The 21692-nt window shown below is 37.2% G+C and overlaps 1 protein-coding gene across 24 annotated transcripts in view; it reads left to right on the top strand.

Annotated features, from left to right (window-relative positions):
• AGTPBP1 (ATP/GTP binding carboxypeptidase 1) overlaps positions 1-21692 on the top strand; it is a 258945-nt gene that overhangs the window by 101062 nt on the left and 136191 nt on the right. For all 24 annotated transcript variants that reach the window (XM_047423094.1, XM_047423090.1, XM_047423089.1 and 21 more), the window contains one exon: positions 11609-11733. In XM_047423094.1, coding sequence (XP_047279050.1) covers positions 11609-11733 — 125 coding nt within the window. Of the gene's footprint in view, positions 1-11608; positions 11734-21692 lie in introns of those variants that run through there.

Below are 21692 nucleotides of genomic sequence, written 5' to 3'. Positions count from 1 at the left end.
CCTAGCAGTATTACTTTGAATCCTTTCTGATGATTTTTTTTCCTAGTCTTGGGTAGTTTCCTTACACTCCTGCGCTGATCTGTATTCAGCTGTGTATTTGAGGGAGGCTTTCTGCACATCTCTGGAGTTTTCTCTGTGCAGCTCTCTCTCCTCTGGTCATCTCTTCTTGGAATTCTAGCCACGATGGTTTCCCTGGACTCTTACCTTTATCTCCTCAACTAAAGAAGACTGTTGGGCTGTCTGGGTTCTGCTTTCTTACATTACCTGAAACTGTCAAGGCTGTAAGCTAGGGCAAGTACTTGGTTTACCTCATTTATTTCCTGTCTTTCCATGTTGATAGGCTATAGAAGCCCAAGGCCACCTTTAGTTTTCAGGTGGTAACTTAGTGGATTTATTTTATTTTTGCTTCTGTCTTATTTAACTTTTAAGCAGCAGTTGACATTTCTTTTGGATGTTGTCCCTCCTATTTGAAACTTATTTCAGTTGGTGTCTGCGGTACCATTGTCTCTTGTTTTTCTTCCCACTTCATTGGCCACTGCTTCTAAACCTACTTATGGGACTTTTTCCTCTGTAGGACCTCTAAATAGTCCTCAGGACTCAGTCCTAAACTTTTTCTCCTTTTAACCTATACAGTGTCCTTGGACAATCTCATTTGAGTCCTATTGATTTAGATGTCATCTGTAGTGGAGACCAATCCCTCTGTATCTCCATGCCTATTAAGTATTGCTACCTGGAAGTTTCATAGTCATCTCCCACATTATGTGTTCCCCCAGATTGAGCCTTTGCAAATCTTTTCATCCTCTAGTGTTACTCTGACTCAGTGAAATGAGATTCTAACCACGCAGAAGTGCAAGCCATAAATCTGGGAGTCATCCTTGACAATCTTTTCATTTAGCATTCTTCATCCAGGCTACCAGTGAATACTATGTTTTGTATCTATCACTAAAAGTAAATCACTTGTCTGTGTATTTCTCCATGCCCATTGTTGCTACCTTGACCAGGCTTTTATCATCTGTTTCTAAGACCACTGTAATAGTCTCCTTACTTCTCTGCCTCTACTCTTGATTCCTTTATGTAATCCATTCACTTCACAAGAGCCAGGAGGCCTTTAAAAATTGTATATCTAAACTTCCAGTTTGAACATCATTGAATAATTCTGTCTTCCCCATCTCTTCCTGGAAATTATTTCAAATCCTCAAAAAACTAGGAGGACTAAACAGCCTCATTCTTTGAAAATTCAGTTATTGGCAAGATTAGGAAACATTAGCTGCAGACTCAGCAATACATGTAAAGGCTGCCAAATGCAACTGGGACATTGGGCAGAAGCCACTTGGGAGGAAGTGAAGATAAGTACACATAGGGACCAGAGGGCTCAGAATAGCAGATCTCAGAAAGCTCCAGCAAAAATATACTTGTTGAAGGTTTAGGGTGGACCCTAAATTGTTTTGCAACAGTTTGACAACTCACTGTAACTGGGTTGTGTAGAGATGGGAGAACAATATTTCATGGATGGAATTGGTCCAGAGAAGCAGATCAGGCAGACTATTCAACAATTATGTAAACCAATAGCATGTATCCAAAGTAGTTTGTCTCTGTGGCAGCAAAGGAGAGAGCCATTCAATTGTGAGGCCTAATTAATTTGAAATGCTACCCTGGTCTTCCTTCACCTCCCATCTTTTTATAGGAGCTTATACAAGTTACCAATCGAGGAAAATTCAGCTCATTCAATGAGTAATTAAAAGGTACTGTTAAAAAAAAAAAAGAGAGAGAGACAGAGAGTCGTTACCAGAAATAACATTTTTAGGAAGCAGGTGAAAATTCTCATAAAATATTTCACTACAAATTAAAAAAAAAAAACTGATGATGTAGTTACCTCTGTGAAGATCATAAAACAGAAACAGATAAATTGAGAGATGATATTGTGAGTCAGCAGGAAGAGATGAAATGTGAACTGGCAATACTTAAAGCAGAAGAGAAAATATCACAGAAAGGACAATTAAATTAGCAGCAGTTTGAAAGTAGATACTATAAAAGCACAGTAAAACACACAAAGAATAGTAATGGAGAAAGTGATCACAATTTAATGGATGTAAACAAATGATTAAAGAGATTGGAGATAAAAGGTTAGATGTGTAAGACTGACAAAAGAAATCCAATATACTTGTAACTGTAATTTCCAAGGAAGGAATGGAAACAGTGGAATAGAATGTATTATTTAAAAGGTATGTTTTTAGAAACGTATCAAGAAAACTTTTGGTTGAGTGCATGGAGGGAGAAGGAAGAATGATGACTTAAAACACACAGGCTGTGTCAGAGAAAACTGAGCAGAGTAGGATATACGCTAGATAGCAGAACATATTCTAGAAAAGTTTTGGACCTTAAAGATAGTCTTTTGGGTAGCTAGGTAAAAAGATAACATTATATGGGGCAAAAAGAATCAGGCTGCTTCTGACAACAAAGACTGTTCACCTTCAATTTAAAACTCTCTTGAACAACCTGAGTCAAAGAGGAGATAAAAACAGGCATTTGAGAATATCTTGACTATGGTAATGAAAGCAGACACTAACCTTTGGAAACAGGTGAAACAGTTCCCAAAAAGGAATTCACATTTTTTCCTTTCCTAATTGACCTATTGGTAAAGACAGGTAAAAGGTAGTACATCTAAGTTGATCTCATAGAAGTAGAGAGTGGAATAGTGGTTATGGGGGCTTGGAGAGGGTTGTTTTCCCTGTTTATAAAGCAATCTGTCAGAGTCTGTTTTTGTTCTCTGTTACGGTGTTTTACATTGTCTTCTGTTCATGGTGTTCCTCATGTGGACTGTTTGATCACTCCTACAATATAGTAATTGATTTAATTCTTTATAAACATCTACTTTGGTTCAGATAAAAAGTTGGCCGGGTGCAGTGGCTCATGCCTGTAATCCCAGCACTTTGGGAGACTGAGGCGGGTGGATTACCTGAGGTCAGGAGTTTAAGACCAGCCTGGCTAACATGGTGAAACCCTGTCTCTACTAGAAATACAAAAATTAGCTGGGCATGGTGGTGGGTGCCTGTAATCCTAGCTACTCGGGAGGCTGAGGCAGGAGAATCGCTTGAACCAGGGAAGCAGAGGTTGCAGTGAGCCAAGATTGCACCACTGTCCTCCAGCGTGGGTGACAGAGCAAGACTCCATCTCAAAAAAAAAATTAAAAAATAAAAATAAAAAAAAAAAGGCCAGGTGTGGTGGCTCATGTCTGTAATCCCAGCACTTTGGGAGGCCAAGATGAGTGGATCACTTGAGGCCAGGAGTTCAAGACCAGCCTGGCCAACATGGTGAAACACCATCTCTAATACAAAACTTAGCCTGGCATGGTGGCACATGCCTGTAATCCCAGCTACTCTGGAGGCTGAGGCACGAGAATCCCTTGAACCTGAGAGGTGGAGGTTGCAGTGAGCCGAGATTGCGCCACTGCACTCCAGCCTGGGCGACAGAACAAGACCCTGTCTCAAAAAAGAAAAAAAAAAGTATAGTGTGTTTAATATATATAGCTATGTATTAGTTTAGACATAGGCTAAGCTGATGTAGTAGATACCTCAGAATACAATGGCTAAATATTCAAGCTTATTTCTATTTTATTAACCTAGAGGTTGTTGTTCAAGGGTGGCAGAATGGCTCTGCTTTTCCTGAATATGTGACTTCTATCTCTGGGTCCAAGGCATTTTCTCTTGTTCTCACTATATCATAGCCAGTGGGAATGCAGAAAGGATGCACATCTTATTCTTAAAAGCAAAACTTGCGAAGTGGCTCACATCTCATCTGCCTACATCTCACTTGCCAGGACTTGGATACATGGCTATGCCTAGTGTGGTAGTCACAAGGGCTGGTCACATATATTTTAGTTCTCCTTTTGGGCACCTGGCAGGGTTGTACTGTATTTTCTTTGAGGTTAATCTGTGGCTGTGTGACTTGCTTTAGCCGGTGAAATGAGCTGAAGTGATATTTGTCATTTCCAGGTGAGAGCTTTAAGAGCTAGTGCACCATTTGCCACATCTCTCTTTTTTTCCTCTTGGTGTTGTGAACATGAAAATATCTCTGGCAGCCTAGATGGTTGAATGAGTTGAGTCTCCTGCTGACTTGCACTGTACACGTAATGTGAGCAGGAATTACACTTTCGTTGTGTTGAATAAGCCAAGGGGATTGTGGAGTTGTTCGTTTTGGTAGTATAACCTAGCCCAGAAGTTCTCAAGGTGTTAGCTGTGGACCTTAGAGGAATGAGGTCACAACCATTTTCATAGTAGTACTGAGAGATGATTTGCTTTATTCACGCTCATTTTCTCATGAGTATAAAGTGCTGTTTTCCAGAGGCCTCATGATGTGTGATACTGTAACAGGTTGAATACAGAAGTAGGTATGAGACTCTGTCTTCTACTGAGCCAGACATTAAAAGAGTTTTGTAGTAATGTAAAACACTGCCGCTCTTCTCTCTAAATCTTTACTTTTTTGGTAAAATACAGATACCATTTATAAAAATGTTATGTAATGGATTTATTATTTTAAGTGATTTAATGATTGAGTACTTTAAAATTTGTTCAGTTTTAATTTGTGTTATGGTAAAAAATAATCCATTCCACATAAATTAGAAGAAAACAGTTACGTGTTTAGTATTTGGAGAGAAACAGTAAAAATGTGATTAAAGCCAGAATAAAAGTTATAATTGAGCAGAAATTTCTGAAAGATAAGGTGCATTTTGAAAATAAAGCCATATTGTTTGAAATTGTTTTACTACCATGCATCCTGTGTAATCCTAAAACTTTTGTATGTTTTTATGGTTTTTTTTTTTGCTGTTTATTATTTTTTTTTACCGTATTTATGAGGAAGTCTTTATTGCCTGCATTTGATTTATATTTTAAGGTGAAAAAGGTAGTGTAATTTATTTATAATGTGAATATAGGTTTTATATCCCTTGCCCTTACTTAGGAAATTATTTGTTGCAAAGACAGTATCTGCATATCATTGGGACTTTTGCCATATTCAAGCAAATTTATATTTTTAGGAAAATAGCTCCAAGATTGAATATAAGCTCAAAGAATCAAAAGCAGCATGAGACCAATACAATGAAACAAATATTTGAGTGATAATGCCCTTAAAATATTTATTTGGGCTGGATGTGGTGGCATGTGCCTATGGTTTCAACTTTTTGGGAGACTCACGTGGGAGGATCGCTTGAGCCCAGAAGTTTGATCATCCTGGGCAGCATATAGTGAGACCCTTTCTCTTAAAAATAAATAAATAAATGAAATTATTTAAAAAAATATGCATTTGAAGTTAACTTGATTTGATGTGTTACACATTGATCGTTTTTTCAATTCCATAATTTTCTCACTGTTACATATATAACACTGACAGTTACAAATGGAACCTCCCAAAGTTGGTCTCAGCCTTATTTTGATGCATCTAAAAATAGGGTTAGGTGTGTAATCTCAGCGCTTTGGGAGGCCGAGGCGGGTGGATCACGAGGTCAGGAGATCGAGACCATCCTGGCTAACACAGTGAAACTCCATCTTTAATAAAAATACAAAAAAATGAGCTGGGCGTGGTTGCAGGCGCCTGTAGTCCCAGCTACTCGGGAGGCTGAGGCAGGAGAATGGCGTGAACCCAGGAGGCGGAGCTTGCAGTGAGCCAAGATCGCGCCACTGCACTCCAGCCTGGGCGACAGAGCAAGACTGCTTCTCAAAAAAAAAAAAAAAAAAAAAAAAAAAAAAAGGGTTAGGTGGGGAAGATACATTTCCTCCTCTAAGTGTCTTTATTTAACATTCCTCTGCTTTGCAGTGTAGTATCTCAAATTGCTCATATATAGCTTTTTTTCTTTCATTTGCATCCCACCGCCCTCAGATTTTCCAAAGCCAAAATGTAGTCAAATGGTAGAGCTGCCCTCTGGTGTTCACCCTCTGACTCTCAACATTAGTGTCAACCAGCAGTCTTAACAAATTTTAGAGCTGAGTTGGGAAGTGGCTTAGAATATAATTTTGTTCCGTTTTCCTTCTGTAGATGAAAATAAAAATAGATTGATTTAACTGTTTATTTCCATTTATTTGCCTTTAAAAAATTTACCCATCTATCCATCTGGCATTTGGAAAAGGATGATTCTCACAAAGGAATCACTAAGATGAAAGTTTTCTTTTGTAGTGGTAAATTTATTTTAATTGGCGTAATTAATTTTAACTAGTCAGGGTTACTGGCAAAGCAAGCTCTTAATTTTAGGACCTGTGTTCCATTCACTGTGTTTTGTATGTTTGTGAATTGCATGTTGAATTTTTTGAATAGATGTTTTATTAATTGCCAAAAAAAAAAGATGACCTTTTAAAAGAAAAATAACGAAAAACAAAATGGTCAGTTATTAAATTTTAGAATGTTGGTTTCTGTGAATGCAAATTTCTCTCAAATCTGGGTTACAGAAATTTTTAAAAAGATGTGTTTGCTCTCTAGTACACAGATTGTGGTGACTTATATATCATTTCTCACCAAAAAGAACCAGATCAAGATCACTGAATGTACAAGAGAAGCCTAAAAGAGCAGTTATCAAACTTTTTGGCTTTAGAACCTTTTTCTATTATAAGTTAATGATACTCCAAAAAACTTTTGTTCATGCGGATTATTTTATCTGTTGATATTTATCATATAACAAATTAAGGGCTGGGCGCAGTGGCTCACGCCTGTAATCCTAGCACTTTGGGAGGCTGAGGCGGGCGGATCACGAGGTCAGGAGATCGAGAACATCCTGGCTAACACAGTGAAACCCCGTTTCTACTAAAAATACAAAAAGTTAGCTGGGTGTGGTGGTGGGTGCCTGTAGTCCCAGCTACTCAGGAGGCTGAGGCAGGAGAATGGCGTGAACCCGGGAGGCGGAGCTTGCAGTGAGCCGAGATTGCGCCACTGCACTCCAGCCTGGGCGACAGAGCAAGACTCTGCCTCAAAAAAAAAAAAAAAAAAAAAAAAACAAAAAACAAATTAAGACCCATAATTTATCATATTACAAATATTAATTCATTTAAAAAATAATAAACCCACTGCATAACATATAATGTTTTTGCATTAAAAATAACTATGGTTTCCTAAACAAAATAGGTTTGGTAGGAAGAGTGGCATATTTTATTACATTTTTGCAGATCTTATTAATGTCTGGCTTAATAGAAAACAGATTCTCTTATCTGCTTCTGAGTTTACATGTTATGTGTAAATATATATACACATACATTTTTTTGTGTGTGTTGTATTGTTGAAGGGTACAAAGAAGACATATCTGGGTTCACACAGAAATATATAGTAAAGGAAGGAGTACTTTAGTAGCCTTTTTAGATTGTTGTCCTTTGATTTATGGTGGAGGAAAATAAAATCATGTGTTCACTATTTGGAGAAAAACAGTAAAAATGTGATCAAAGCAAAAGTCATAGTTAAAATGTAGAACAAACAGTATTAAATGAAAATGTGCTTTGGAAATAAAACCATATTATTTGAGATTCAAATTGAAATAGATATTCCTTGATATTACACTAAAGCTTGATAAGTGATAGTGTCGTATAGGTTAGTTACAATGTGGAATCTGAAACCATATTAGTGAACTTTTGTACTCTGTTACATTAAAATCCGTTGGTCTATCTTACACTTACTTTTATCCACATCTGATTTTGTAACACCATGCATTGGTCATTTGGAAAGTACTGATTTAATTATGCAAATCAAATCTTATAAATGTGGATTGATACTTTTTTTTTTTTTGAGACGGAGTCTTGCTCTGTCACCCAGTTTGGAGTCCAGTGGCACAACTTGGCTCACTGCAGCCTCCACCTCCCGGGTTCAAGCAATTCTCCTGCCTCAGCCTCCCAAGTAGCTGGGATTACAGATGTGCGCCACTACACCTGGCTAATTTTGGTATTTTTAGTAGAGATGGGGTTTCACCGTGTTGACCAGGCTGGTCTCGAGCTCTCGACCTCAAGCGATCTGCCCACCTCAGCCTCCCAAAGTGCTGGAATTACAGGCATGAGCCACTGCGCCCGACCGGGTTGACACATTTTTTACACAATATTAAGAAATTATATTTGTTAATATCACCATTGATTTTATGAGAAAATTCTTTAAATATTGAGACACTGTCAAGGTCATTATGGTAGATCAGTGTTTTCCAAAATTCCAATTTTTGCTTGAAAGCTCAAATTTTATCATCAGCAACAAATCTATTAGTTGTTTCCTTTGAAGTGACAGGCTCACTTTGCTTATCTCCATGAAAAGAGAATGTCTGGCAAAGGCTAGGTGTGGTGGCTTACACCTGTAATCCCAGCACTTTGGAAGGCCAAGGCAGGCAGATCACTTGAGATCACAAGTTCGAGACCAGCCTGACCAACGTGGTGAAACCCCGTCTCTACTAAAAATATAAAAATTAGCTGGGTGTAATGGCTCATGCCTGTAATCCCAGCTACTTGGGAGGCTGAGGCAGGAGAATCGCTTGAACCTGGGACATGGAGGTTTCAGTGAGCCGAGATTGCGCCACTGTACTCCAGCCTGGGCAACAGCGCGAGACTCTGTCTGAAAAAAAAAAAAAGTAAAAGAAAAGGAAAGAAAATGTCTGGCAAAATATCCCAGTCTGAATAATCATTGTTTGTCCATCGTTTTCTTGAAGTAAAAATGATGTTCTTTGGAAAAAAGTGGCTAGTTTAGCTTGTCATTCAGACAGTTGCATGTATTTTCTCCCAAGATAACCATCATATTTCAATGTGCAGCAGAAATGATTTTATGCACACAGAATATTAAGATGATGTACACTCATGGGTAAAACTGGCATTCTCTTTAAACTACAAATTCATGGTGGTGAAAAATGCACTGACTATTAGAACAGTTTGGTGTCACTGCCTTCATTTTGCTGCAATGCCAACTCTGTACCCATCATTGCCTTTGGACCATCGGTGCAAATGTCCACACAGTGTCAATGGTAAATAATGTGTTAGTATTTTTATGAAAATTGTCTTTGGCCTTGCACATTTGCTGAAAGGGTCTTAGGTACCCTTAGCATTTTTTTTTAAAGCTCAGTTTTATTTTCTGTGGTAACAAACATTTAAGAACCAGATAAAACAAGGGGCCCCTGAGCACCCAAGGGCCAGTACAGGCCGACCATGAGGCTCTCACAGGAAAGTAGCAACTGTGTCGGTTTTCCTGGTTTTGATATTGTCCTATAGTTATGTGAAATGTAACCATTGGGGAAACTGAGTGAAGGTTACAAAGCACCAGTCTACTATTTTTGCAACTTCCTGTGAATCTATAATTACTTCAAAATAAAAGTTAAAAAAAATTACTGTGTGGAAATGGGTTATTGGGCACCAAGAAGGGAAGCAGCCTAGTCACTAGGCTGTGAGAGATGATGATTGCTTGGATGTGGGTAGTCATATAGTAGATATGGAGAGAAGTGAATGGATTTGAGATGTTTTGAGATAGAACTTGTATTGGGTTGCAGTGTGGAAAAGGGAGTCTAGATATTTATGTTGAACCTTCAACTGAATTCATGTGAATTTGTAAAGGTTAAGATTGGAAGAGGACTAGGTTGAGAGGAGGAACAGAAGTTTTATATTGGGCTGGTTAGGTTGGTGAAGCTATCAGAGGTTGAGGCTGCTATTGAACATAGGAGCCAAGCTGCATACAGATAATAATTACAGCTGTGGGATTAGATGGGATCACTCAAGGCAAAAGTGTAGTGAGTGAAGAGAAGTGGGCTGGGACAGAGCTGTTGGGGGAGATGTCAGTGTCTTAGAAGTGTGTCAGAGGGGATCTCAAAGAAGGGGCAAGAGGAGGAAAATCAGGCGAGTATAGAGTCATTGAATCCCAAAGAAGAAAGTGTGTTAAGAAAAGAGGAGATAACTGGTTTGTATGGTGCAGAGATGTGAATATGTTGGGGTTAGAAGTGACCACAGGATGCTTTTGGGAGATCTCAGAGTTCAGAAGGCAACCTGGTGGTTTGAAAAGTGAACAGTCTGTGGGGAAATGGAGAGAGCAGTACATATTTCTCTTTGGAGGAATATCAGAGAAACAGCTGGTAGGAGCTCCTAGATCATACTTGTGTGCCTACAAGTCGATTAATTGAAGGGGAAAGATAGATGAGGGATCAGAGAAAGTATAATTGAAAGAGAAAGCAAGTACTTTGAGAATGAAAGGGGCTGGGAGCAAGTGTACGAGTGGATTGTTCTTTGAATCTCAATGTACCAGCCAAATAGAGCCCGTTAAAAGTGAGAACATGTAACTCTTCTGCTCAAAAATTTCCCATCTCACTCATTGTAAAAGCCAAAGTCCTTAAAATGGCCTACAAGCCTCTAAGCAATCTGCTATTTTTCTCTGTTCTCTCCCATGCCTACCCCCAACTCTGACCTTGTTCCTCACTGTCTCCTCCAGCCACACTGGCCACCTCATTGTTCATAGAACATGGCAGGTTTGCTCCTGCGCAGGGATCTAGGAGCTTGTGCCTCCGTTTTTCTGGACAGCTCTTTTTGCCAGTATTTGCACGGCTTGCTTATTTACTTGCTTCTTTCAGGCCTGTTCTTAAATGGTACCTTCTCAGTGGTCTTCTCTGACCATGCTGTCTAAAACTGTCTCTCTCCCCCTGCACTTTTTATTCCCCCAATGTGCTTTTTCTCCATAGTACTTCCCATCACCTGAAATATAAAATGTACATATTTACCTATTTGACTTGTTTCTCACCATAAGAATGTACACTCTATGCGGGGCAGGAGTTTTTGCTTGTTTTGTTTACACTATATTGACAACACCTAGATCAGTACCGTATGTACAATTTTTTTTGTTGTTGTTGAGATGAAGTCTTGCTCTGTCGCCCAGGCTGGAGTGCAATGGCATGATCTCAGCTCACTGCAACCTCCGCCTCCTGGATTCAAGCAATTCTCCTGTCTCAGCCTCCCAAGTAGCTGGGATTGCAGGCATGCGCCACATGCCTGGCTAATTTTTTTGTATTTTTAGTAAAGATGGGTTTCACCATGTTGGCCAGGCTGGTCTCAAACTGACCTCAAGTGATCCACCAGTCTTGGCCTCCCAAAGTGCTGGGTTTACAGGTGTGAGCCTCTGTGCCCGGCCTATGTACAAATATTTGTATGATAAATAGGAACAGGGAAGAAAGAACATAGGTGGAGGATAGGTAGGCTTAAGGATCTGGTGACAGGAAAGTGAGTGTATTCTTGCTGGATTTATACCAGTTATGAAGCAGGGCACTAACTGAGAATGGAGTCGGATGGGAAGAAGGATTATCAGAGTTTTGAGGAGAGCAGAGTAAGTGTAAAAAGTCTTTGAGAGTGGAAAGGTGAACTTTCCAGGTGTGATGTAAGATTACTGAACAGGGTTGAAGGGATATTTGTGATTTGTGGTTTTCTGAAATAGAATGTGTTTCTCACTTAAGTCAGTAGAATTTAAGCTATAGAACAATATTAAGCTATATTAAGCTATAGAACAGAGTAAGGAAGTGCGACGTGTAAATGCTTTCTGTTTTTAAAAGAGTAGAATTGTTTTTTAAACAGTGATCGTTATAGTATTGAATTTACACCATTGATTTAGAATGTGCCCTAACATTCTACGTTCTTTTTAGCCTTACCAATAATTCTAGGATCGTAGGACTCCTGGCTCAACTGGAGAAGATCAATGCTGAGCCTTCAGAATCAGACACTGCCCGATATGTTACATCAAAAATTCTTCATCTGGCTCAGAGTCAAGGTAAACATTGATCTCTTCTTTGTTTTTGAAATGCTTTTTTAATTCTTTAAAAGTGGATGCTAAAAATGTTCAAACTTCTAATAATGGATGATTTTCCACAAAAATTGAACTTTCAGGCCGGGTGTGGTGGCTCACACCTGTAATCCCAGCACTTTGGGAGGCCAAGGTGGGCAGATCATGAAGTCAGTAGTTTTGAGACCAGCCTGGCCAATATGGTGAAACCCCGTCTCTACTAAAAAATACAAAAATTAGCCGGGTGTGGTAGCATGCACCTATAATCCCAGTTACTCGGGAGGCTGAGGCAGGAGAATCACTGGAACCCAAGAGGTGGAGGTTGCAGTGAGCTGAGATCGTGCCACTGCACTCCAGCCTGGGCGACAGCAAGACTCCGTCTCATAAAAAAAAAAAAAAAAAAATCAAACTTTCTCAAATTGACTCGAGTGGAAAACTGAATAACTTTGGAGGAAATTGATCTTCAAAGCATGGTTTCTAATAATGATTACAATTTTACTTATATATGATTACCACCCTCCCATTTACAAATAGTACCTAATTCCAGTGCTACTTGATATAGATTTTTGGCAAAAAGATATCAAGTAGCATAGAATATTGGTTATTATGGGGTCCTCACTTTGAAATTCAGGCTCTACTATTTAGTGGTTGGGTACCTTAGGGAGGTTATTGAATTTCTAAGATGTATAATAGCTGTACCATCTCTGAAGTAGAGGTAACGAATATCACACGGTTGTCATGAGATTTACATGAGAAGCATGTAAAAAGAATATTTAAAATGTTCTATAAATGTCAGCTGTAATTAGACTTTTTTTATATTTTGTGATGGTAATAGTACTAAATTGATATCAAAACCCCGATAGAGTACACAAATAGTATTGACTTTGTACTCAGGAACATAATGTGAAAAGGCTCAAATAAAACTTTAGGGAATTAAGTCTGTACGTGGAAATATGAATATCATTGTTAAAGAACACATTTCAGGAACGCAAGATACCAGGAAATATATCACTATAACATTATCTGAACAGGTCAAATAAAATCCATGTGATTACCTTAATAGATAGTAAAAAGGACTTTGATGAGACTAAAAACTGTGCATGATTTAAAACACACACACACACACACACACACACACACCCTCTTTTTTTTTTGGATAAGAGAAAACCAGCACTACTTTAATATTTAACAGTGCACATAAAAGGTATTTCTGTTAGAATTAAGGTCTAATAATTATAATCTTTATTTAATTTTTAAAAATTTCATTATTCTGGAGGCTTAGGTCATTCAGATAAGATGTTTGGCAGGCATTTAGTGTTTCAAGATCTCAGTGTCTATTAACCCTTCTTCTTGGTCATAGACCCTTATATTTATTTTGATAACTTCCTCCCATGTAGCCCATGCATTTGGAGGATAGTTGATACCACCCCATTGTTTCTTGCATAATTTAAAATACCTGTACCTTTTAATTAAGAAAGCCACTGTATTGGATTCCAGGCTCTGGAAATATTGTACTTATCAACTAAGGCAACTAATGAACAAGGGTGTTCGTTATATCAGTGCAAAATTAAATGTGCCAGGTATATTCACTGCATTGTCATATGAAATACCTCCTCCTCAAAAAAACCAACCAAACAAAAAACCCAACAAAAACAAAAGAAAATGAATCCTTCAGACCTATAGATAAACACTTTTGTCCATTGCTCCTACCACTGTAGACTCTTCTTTGTGTCACAACCTAGAACCCCTACTCCAGCATTACCACTGAAAATACTCCTAACCATACCGCTATCAGGGAATGACCCTCTTCCCACCACTGAAAATACTCCTGACCATACCACTATTAGAGAATGACCCTCTTACCACCACTGAAAATACTCCTGACCCTATCACTATCAGAGAATGACCCTCTTCCCACCACTGAAAATACTCCTGACCATACTGCTATCAGAGAATGATCCTCTTCCCACCACTGAAAATACTCCTGACCATACCGCTATCAGAGAATGACCCTCTTCCCACCACTGAAAATACTCCTGACCCTACCGCTGTCAGAGAATGACTTTCTTCCCACCACTGAAAGTACTCCTGACCTTACCACTATCAGAGAATGACCCTCTTTCCACCACTGAAAGTACTCCTGACCATACCACTATCAGAGAATGACCCTCTTCCCACCACTGAAAATACTCCTCACCACTGAAAATACTCCTGACCATACCACTATCAGAGAATGACCCTCTTCCCACCTTTTCAGCCACCACTGGGGTCTAACTCCTGAATACTGTCCCTTGGGGTGTATAATATAGTGACTCTGTTTATAGTGCCTAGGATTAGCCAACCAACACAGTATAAGTTGGTAGTGAAAGGCAGTTCCATCCTTTATAGGATAATCCAGTTAGCTATCCATTTGGGAGAGAAAGTTTGGAATTTATAGTTGAAAGAAGAAATGCAAACAACCAAGAAATGTACAAAAATTTTCTTTACTCCCTTACAGTTCAGGAACTGCTAATGAAAACAACAACAAAGATATCTTTCAGTAGTCAGATTGACAGAAATTAGAATGACAATGTCTGGTGCTGTTGAAGGCACGGGGAGAGGGTACTCTCATACACTGTTGGAGGTGTAGTAATTATTACAAACTTGGGGAAAATAATCTGGCAATGTGTACTAAAACAAATTGTACCTGGTATTTGACCCAGCACCTGGTATTTTATTTTTACTTTAAGATATATATATATATATATATATTTTTTTTTTTTTTTTTTTTTTTTTTTTGAGGCAGAGTCTCTCTCACTCTGTTGCCCGGGCTGTAGTGCAGTGGCACAATCTCCACTCATGGCAACCTCCACTTCCCGAGTTCAAGCCATTCTTTGTCTCAGCCCCCCGAGTAGCTGGGATTACAGGCATAGGCCACAACACCAGGCTAATTTTTTATATTTTTAGTAGAGATGGAATTTCACCATGTTGGCCAGGCTGGTCTCAAACTCTTGACCTCAGGCGATCTGCCGGTCTCGGCCTCCCACAGTGCTGGGATTACAGGCGTGAGCCACTGTGCCCGGCCAAGAAATATATTTTAACTGAAATAAAAATGCTAGTTAGAGAGAGTATAGAGATATTCATGTGGCATTATTTGTGATGTCAAAGTTCAAGAAACAACCTAAATGTCTATCACTGAGAGAATGTGTGAGTAATTTTTGATATACCAAAGTGGAAATTTATAGCCATATTATGCAGCTATTATGAATAATACATTATTTATGATGGGGACTCTTGTAACCCCTACACCCAGGCTCACCCCAAACCAATTAAATCTTAATTGTTAAGGCTTTCCAGATGGTTCCAAAATTGAAAGCTACTGCTCTAGAGCAGGGAATGGCTAGCGTTTTCTGGGAAGGGCCAGATAGACATATTTTAGGCTTTGTGGGCCATACAGTCTCTGCCCTTTAGCACACGAACAGCCATAGATGATACATAAAGAAACAGGCATGGCTGAGTTCCTATAAACTTTATTGTAGACATTGAAAAAAAAATTATAGTTGAAACATACAGTTCATATGTGTAACTATATGCACGCTCTTGGAGGCTTAAATTTAGTATATTACATACAGCAAGTTTCTTTAGTTCATATGACTGTAAAGGTGTATAGTCTCATTTTTATACAAAATATGTATAGTCTCATTTTTGTACAAAATAAACCATTATATTTGTATGTAATATTTGTATGAGCCAGGCCAAAAAATAAAAGGAAGGATACATATCAAATTGTTAGCAGTAGCTATATTGATGGAATAGGAATGGGGGAGAATAAGGTAAGCTAATTTTGTTTCAGACATTTAAATTGTTGCAACAAGCATATACTACTTATGTATTTAAATGATATAAAAAACCAACCCCTACAACACATTTTATTCACACAATAAACTTATAAATTTCCATAATTTGCCTCTCGTTAACTACTTATGTACAGTGAATTATTTCTTGCAATTTCCCCTTAGTTTTTTTCCTAGAAACATTTCTATTATCCACTTTCATGCAAATGGTTAATTTGTTGACCCATGGTTGTTGCTAATCTTTCCTTATAATCCTTTTAGTTTCTATAGAGTAGGGAGTGATGTGTCTTTCATTCCTGATTTTGATTGTGTCCTTTCTTTTTTCTTGGTCTGTCAGCTTATTAGTTCTCAACCAGGAGTGATTGTGTCTGCCCCACTTTTTCCCCCAGGGACATTGGCAATGTTTGGTGACATTTTTAGTTGTAAATTTTTTTTTAGTGAGGCTTACTGTAATTTGTTGGATAGAAGCCCGAGATGTTGCTGAACATTCTATAATATATAGATCAGCCCACCACAAGAAAGAATTATCTGTTCCAAAATGTCAAGAGTGCTGAGGTTAAGAGACCCTAGCCTAGCTAAAAGTTTGTCAATTTTGTTGATATTTTTAAAGAATTAACTTCTGGTTTAATTGACTTTCTCTGTTTTGTTTCATTGATTTCCTTCTTTTATTTATTGCTTTCTTCTTTCTGCTTGTTTTGAGTTTAATATGCTCTTTTTTTTGCCTTTTTTTTTTTTTTTTTTTTTTTTAATTTTGAGACAGAGTTTCATTCTTGTTGCCCAGGCTGGAGTGCAATGGTGTGATCTCGGCTCACTGCAACCTCTGCCTCCTGGGTTCAAGTGATTCTCCTGCCTCAGCCCCCTGAGTAGCTGGATTACAGGCATCTGCCACCACACCCGGCTAATTTTTTGTATTTTTAGTAGAGACGGGGTTTCACCGTGTTAGCCAGGCTGGTCTCAAACTCCTGACCTCAGGTGATCCACTTACCTTGGCCTCCCAAAGTCCTGGGATTACAGGCATGAGCCACCGCGCCTGGCCGCCATTTTCTTACAGTGGAAGCCTAGATTATTTATTTTGAGACCTTTATTTCTACTGGAGGCATTCAAAGCCATAGATTTTTCTGTAAACACTGCTTTAGCTACATTCTACAGATTTTGATATATTGTATTTTTGTTTTGATTCAGTTGACAATATGTTCTAATTTTCTTTGTGGTTTTTTTCTTTGACCCATTTTTTTTTTAGAAGTGTGTTGTTTAATTTCCCAATATTTCAGGAATTCCTAAATTTCCTTCTGTTGATTTCTAATGTAATTCTTTTGGCTGGAGAATATACTTTGATTGATTTCAATCCTTGGAATTGCTTGAGACTTGTTTTATGACTTAGTTTATGGTTTCTCCTGAAAAATGTTCCATGCATACTTGAAAAGAATGTATATTCTGCTGTTGTTGGGTGAAGTGTTCTATAAGTATCAATTAGGTTAGTTGATAGTGTTGTTCAGATCTCTTATACACTGTTGATTTTCTGCCCAGGTGCTCTGTTAATTATTAAGAGTTAGGTGTTAAAATATTATTAAATTGTATATCTTTTTAATTTTGGCAGGTTTTGGTTAATGTGTTTTGAGGCCCTGTTCTTAGCTGTGTATACATTTATAGTTGTTTCATTTTCCTGATAGTTTGCCTCTTCCATCATTGTGAAATATTGCTTTTTGTCTCATAATAGTTCTAGACTTAAAGTTCATTTTGTCTAATGATAATATTGCCACTCCAGCTGCCGAATGATTATTACTCTTTGCATATCGTACCTTTTTTCATTCCTTTTACTTTGAACCTGTTTGTACCTTGGAATCTAAAGTGTGTTTCTTGAAGATAACATATTGTTGGATCTTGCTTCTTAACTAGTCTGAGTGTTTTAGTGCTTCCAATTTAATGCATTTATTAATATGATTGGATTTACATCTGCCATTTTGCTAATTGTTTTGTTTCATGTCTTTTACATTCTTCTCATTCTTTCACTGCTTTTGTTGTTATCTAACTTAAAGAAATTGGAGTTCTTTTCTTAGTGGTTCCTATAGGGATTAAAATGTGCATCTTTTTACAGTGTACTTAATTCCAGTCAATATCAAAACTTCCCATATAGCTTCATTTCCTTCTCATTCTTTATGCTGTTATTGATTTACATGTTATGTTTATACATATTAGAATCCCAACAATACAATGTTGTAATTATTGCTTACACAATCTTATGCTTTATAAAGAAGTTCTGAATGAAGAGCAGGATTAAGAGCCAACAGATTGATAGTTAAAGTAATGGGGGTGGAATTAAGTTTTCTTAGAAGGAGTTGTGGAGTGAGAAAGCTGAGGTTTGTGTCCTGGGAACTGTGCACATTTAGATAGGGCTATAAGAGGGTGAAGATAATCAAGTGCATTCACATGATTTTTGTGTCTTCCTGATGATTTACCCCTTTATAATTATGGAAAGTTTCTCTTTATCTCTGGCAGTGTTCTTTGTCTGAAGTTTATTTTGTCTGATATTAGTATAACCCTTCAAGCTTTCCTACGGTTGCTGTTTGCATGATATAGTCTTTTCTATTCTTTTACTCCCAGCCTTTTTGTGTCATTGAATCCAAAGTGTGATTTCTGTAGACAGTATATAGTTGGATCTTTTTAAAAAAAAACATCCAGTTTGACAGTCTGAGTGTTTAATTTGAGCATTTGGTCTGTTAACATTTAATGTAGTTGTTGACTGGATTTAGGTCTACAATTTTATTTTCTGTTTGTCTTTTATGTTTTTTATTCCTTTTCTTCCTGTCCTACCCTATTTTGGATTATTTGAACTTTTTTTTAGAATTTCGTTTTAATTTACCTATTGGCTTTTTAGTTATACCTCTTTTCATTTTTAAGAAGTAATTTCTTTGAATATTGCACTAAATGTCATTAACTTTTCACAGTTTGCTTAGAATTATTATTGTTACTTCATGTAAATTTAGAATCTTAAATTTTTTCTACCATTCTTCAGCTGTGATTGTCATATGTATCTACATCTGTATACATTACAACACAATTTTTGCTTTATCAAGTCATGTATGTTTTAAAGACATTAAAAAGAAAAAAGGTAGTTTTTACATTTGCAGAGATATTTACCATTTTGGAAGCTCTTTATTCTTTTCTAATGATGTGAGTTTGATCTGGTGCCATTTCTCTTTAGCCTACAGAATTTTGTCACTTCCAGTAGTTCAGGTTGGCTGTGGAAGATTTTTTTTTCTTAATCTGACAGTGAATTTATTTCACCATTTTTGAAGGATATTTTTACTGGATATAGAATTCTGGTTTGGCAGTTTCATCGTCATCGTCTTTTAGCATTTTTAAAGTGTGCTTACAATTGTGTTTCCACCATTTTATGGCCTCCATAATTTCAAATGAGAACTCTGTTGTCATTTGAATCTTCATTTTCCTGAATGTTATGTGTGATTTTTTTCTAACTGATTTCAGGATTTATTTATTTATTTATTTTTTTGGATTTTGCTTTTCAAGTTTGACTGGCTATAGTTTTCTTCATAGTTATCCTGCTTGGAATTCACTGAGATTTTTGAATCTGTAAATTTATATCTTTAGTCAAATTTGGGACATTTTTGGTTGCTCAGTTTTTTTTCTCCCTTATTTTCCCTATTTGTCTTGTGGAAGTATAATTATACATGTATTAGATTTTTGATATTTTTTCAGCTGTTGTTGAGGCTTATATCTTTTAAGTTTAATTCTCTGTTATTTGGGTTGGATAATTTCTATTGTTCTATTGTCAGTTTCACTGCCTCTTTCCTATGCATCCTTCCAGTTAGCTATCTGATAATTTATTTCAGATGTTTTTTTTTTTATTCTCAAGTGTGCACTTGGTTCTTTTGCTTTTGTAGTTTCTATTTCTCTGCTGTGTTTTCCCATCTTTTCATTCATTGTGTACTTCTTTACTTTAATGTCATTTATTATAATAGCTGCTTTAAAGTTCTTGTCTGTAAATCTAATCTAACATTCAGATAATTGAAGCTGTTAAAGAAAGAATACAGCATTAAGATAACTGGGAAGGATTATATTTAAAGAAGCCAAAGGAAGATGCAGTAGTCAACAGTGCTAAGTGTTAGGAAGTTTAAAGTTCTTTTTGATTGGATTATTAACAAATTACTGATCACAACAAAAGCACTTTTCAAGTGGTAGGATTAGGTGGAAGATTGCAGTATGTTATAATGTGAATGGCAAATGAAATAATCACAGGGAATATAGAGTACTTGTTTGAGGAGCTTCACCGAGAAAGAAAAGAGGGAAATAGAGGGGGAGGCAGGGTAAAATAAGATTTGGTAAGTATGTGGAATAATAAAAAGTGTATTTATTGGTTGAGAGGGAACAACTGATATGTTGGTAGAGGTTGAAGATAAAGGTTCATAAGAAGGTAGAAAGGATGGAATTCAGAACATAGGTGAAAGGACATTTCTTCCTAACCTCCACTGTCCTGCTCCTCTCTGCCATTTACTGGCGGAAGGAATGCAAGATTGTCAAGGATTTTGGTACAGGAGCATATAGAGTTTGGTTGTTATTAGTAAAATGTTTTGTTAACTAATTACTTTGCTTCATTTTAATGAGGAAAAATGTAGGTTCTGAGAAGTCCAGAGAATGAGAGGAAAGATTGAGGGCTACTATAAATGTTGAAATAGCTATGGGCTATGGCAGGGCAGATGGTGATGGATGTGAGCTAAGATAAGTGAAAGGAGCAGTTTTGTGTTCCCAAGTGAGGTTGGAATTCATTAATTTTATGGTATTAACAGTCTTAAATTGTGGTGTTATTTTTACTCTGATGTAGGAGCAGGGAACTCAGCTTTTTGGGATTCACTTCTGTATCAGGGTTTGTGGTGGGAAAATTGGTGGGGGTGGGGGTGCTTGGAATCCAAGTTAAGTATGGAGGGGACTGATACTGTGGGAAAACAGTGCTACCTCACACTGGATAAGAAGTTTCAACAAAGGTGACAGTGAGGTTTATATAGTCTTTATAAAGGAAAGATGAATAGAAATGTTAGGAGGTTATGGGCCATAAGTAGAAGATTAGGGATTAAGATATCAGAGGCAGAGCAGTTTGAGGTCCTGAGAATGGCCATTCAGAGGGTTGATGAATTGGAGCACAGAGGGAAGGATTTTGTTATGAGGTCGAGAAACTATGGAACTAGGTATTTGAATGAATTTTCCACAATGACATTGAAGTCTCCCAAGATTGTGGCAGAATTTGGAGTAGAGTAGAAAACTGTTAGTCTAAACACCTAATTTTCATTTAGTGTGAGGTGTAAACAAAACAGTGGTGAATGTTAACAAGGGGAGGCTGCATTATACTGTCTTCAAAGGAAGATAGTTTTTTTTACCCTTCATGGAAGTGAAAATGTAATGGCTTGTTAGTAGTGATATTAATATTGAAAAATAATTTGGCTTTAATATTAAATCAGGGGCCTTTAAAATATTACATCAAGGGTACATTAGATATTTGAAACAATGTTTTATTTTGCAACTCAACATTTTTTGATGGAGGCAGCAGGGCTGGAGAAAAAGTAAAGGATAGGTTGCATTATCAGAAGGAATGACATACTTTTTAAAAAGGAGAAATTTAATTTTACTCTCATTAATGAGTTTTTCCTTTTGTTCTAGGTAAATTTTATATTCTTTTAAGCATTAACAATGTGGCAGCAAGGAACTGGTGAATATTATTTTAGGTCTTCATATCACTTACGGGAGTTTCTGTTTTGAAAGATGTAAGGTTCCTTAAGTTTAGTGAAGTCCATTAACTGAACCCGAGATGATGCATGATAGCATGAGATTGTTGTTTTAAGATAAATATGACATGTACTCTCCAGCATATTTATTTTGTAGCTAGTCATAGGTAGTTGTCATAAATAACATTATACTATGTCCCTTCTGTAGTACATTTTTCCCTCTGTTTACTCCTAATTTAGAGTAACTTAATTTTCAAGTGATGTCAGATTCATGAAGTTGAACAGGATTTGCTCAGAACAAAAGTATGATATTCTAAAGGCTTAGCCTGAGTTTGTTTTTCTCCCATCTGTGTTGATATTTTCCTTTAATCAGGGCCTC

This window comes from Homo sapiens, chromosome 9 (assembly GCF_000001405.40).
Source record: "Homo sapiens chromosome 9, GRCh38.p14 Primary Assembly".
In the NCBI taxonomy this organism is placed as follows: domain Eukaryota; kingdom Metazoa; phylum Chordata; class Mammalia; order Primates; family Hominidae; genus Homo; species Homo sapiens.
This window is presented reverse-complemented; position numbering and strand designations above follow the sequence as displayed.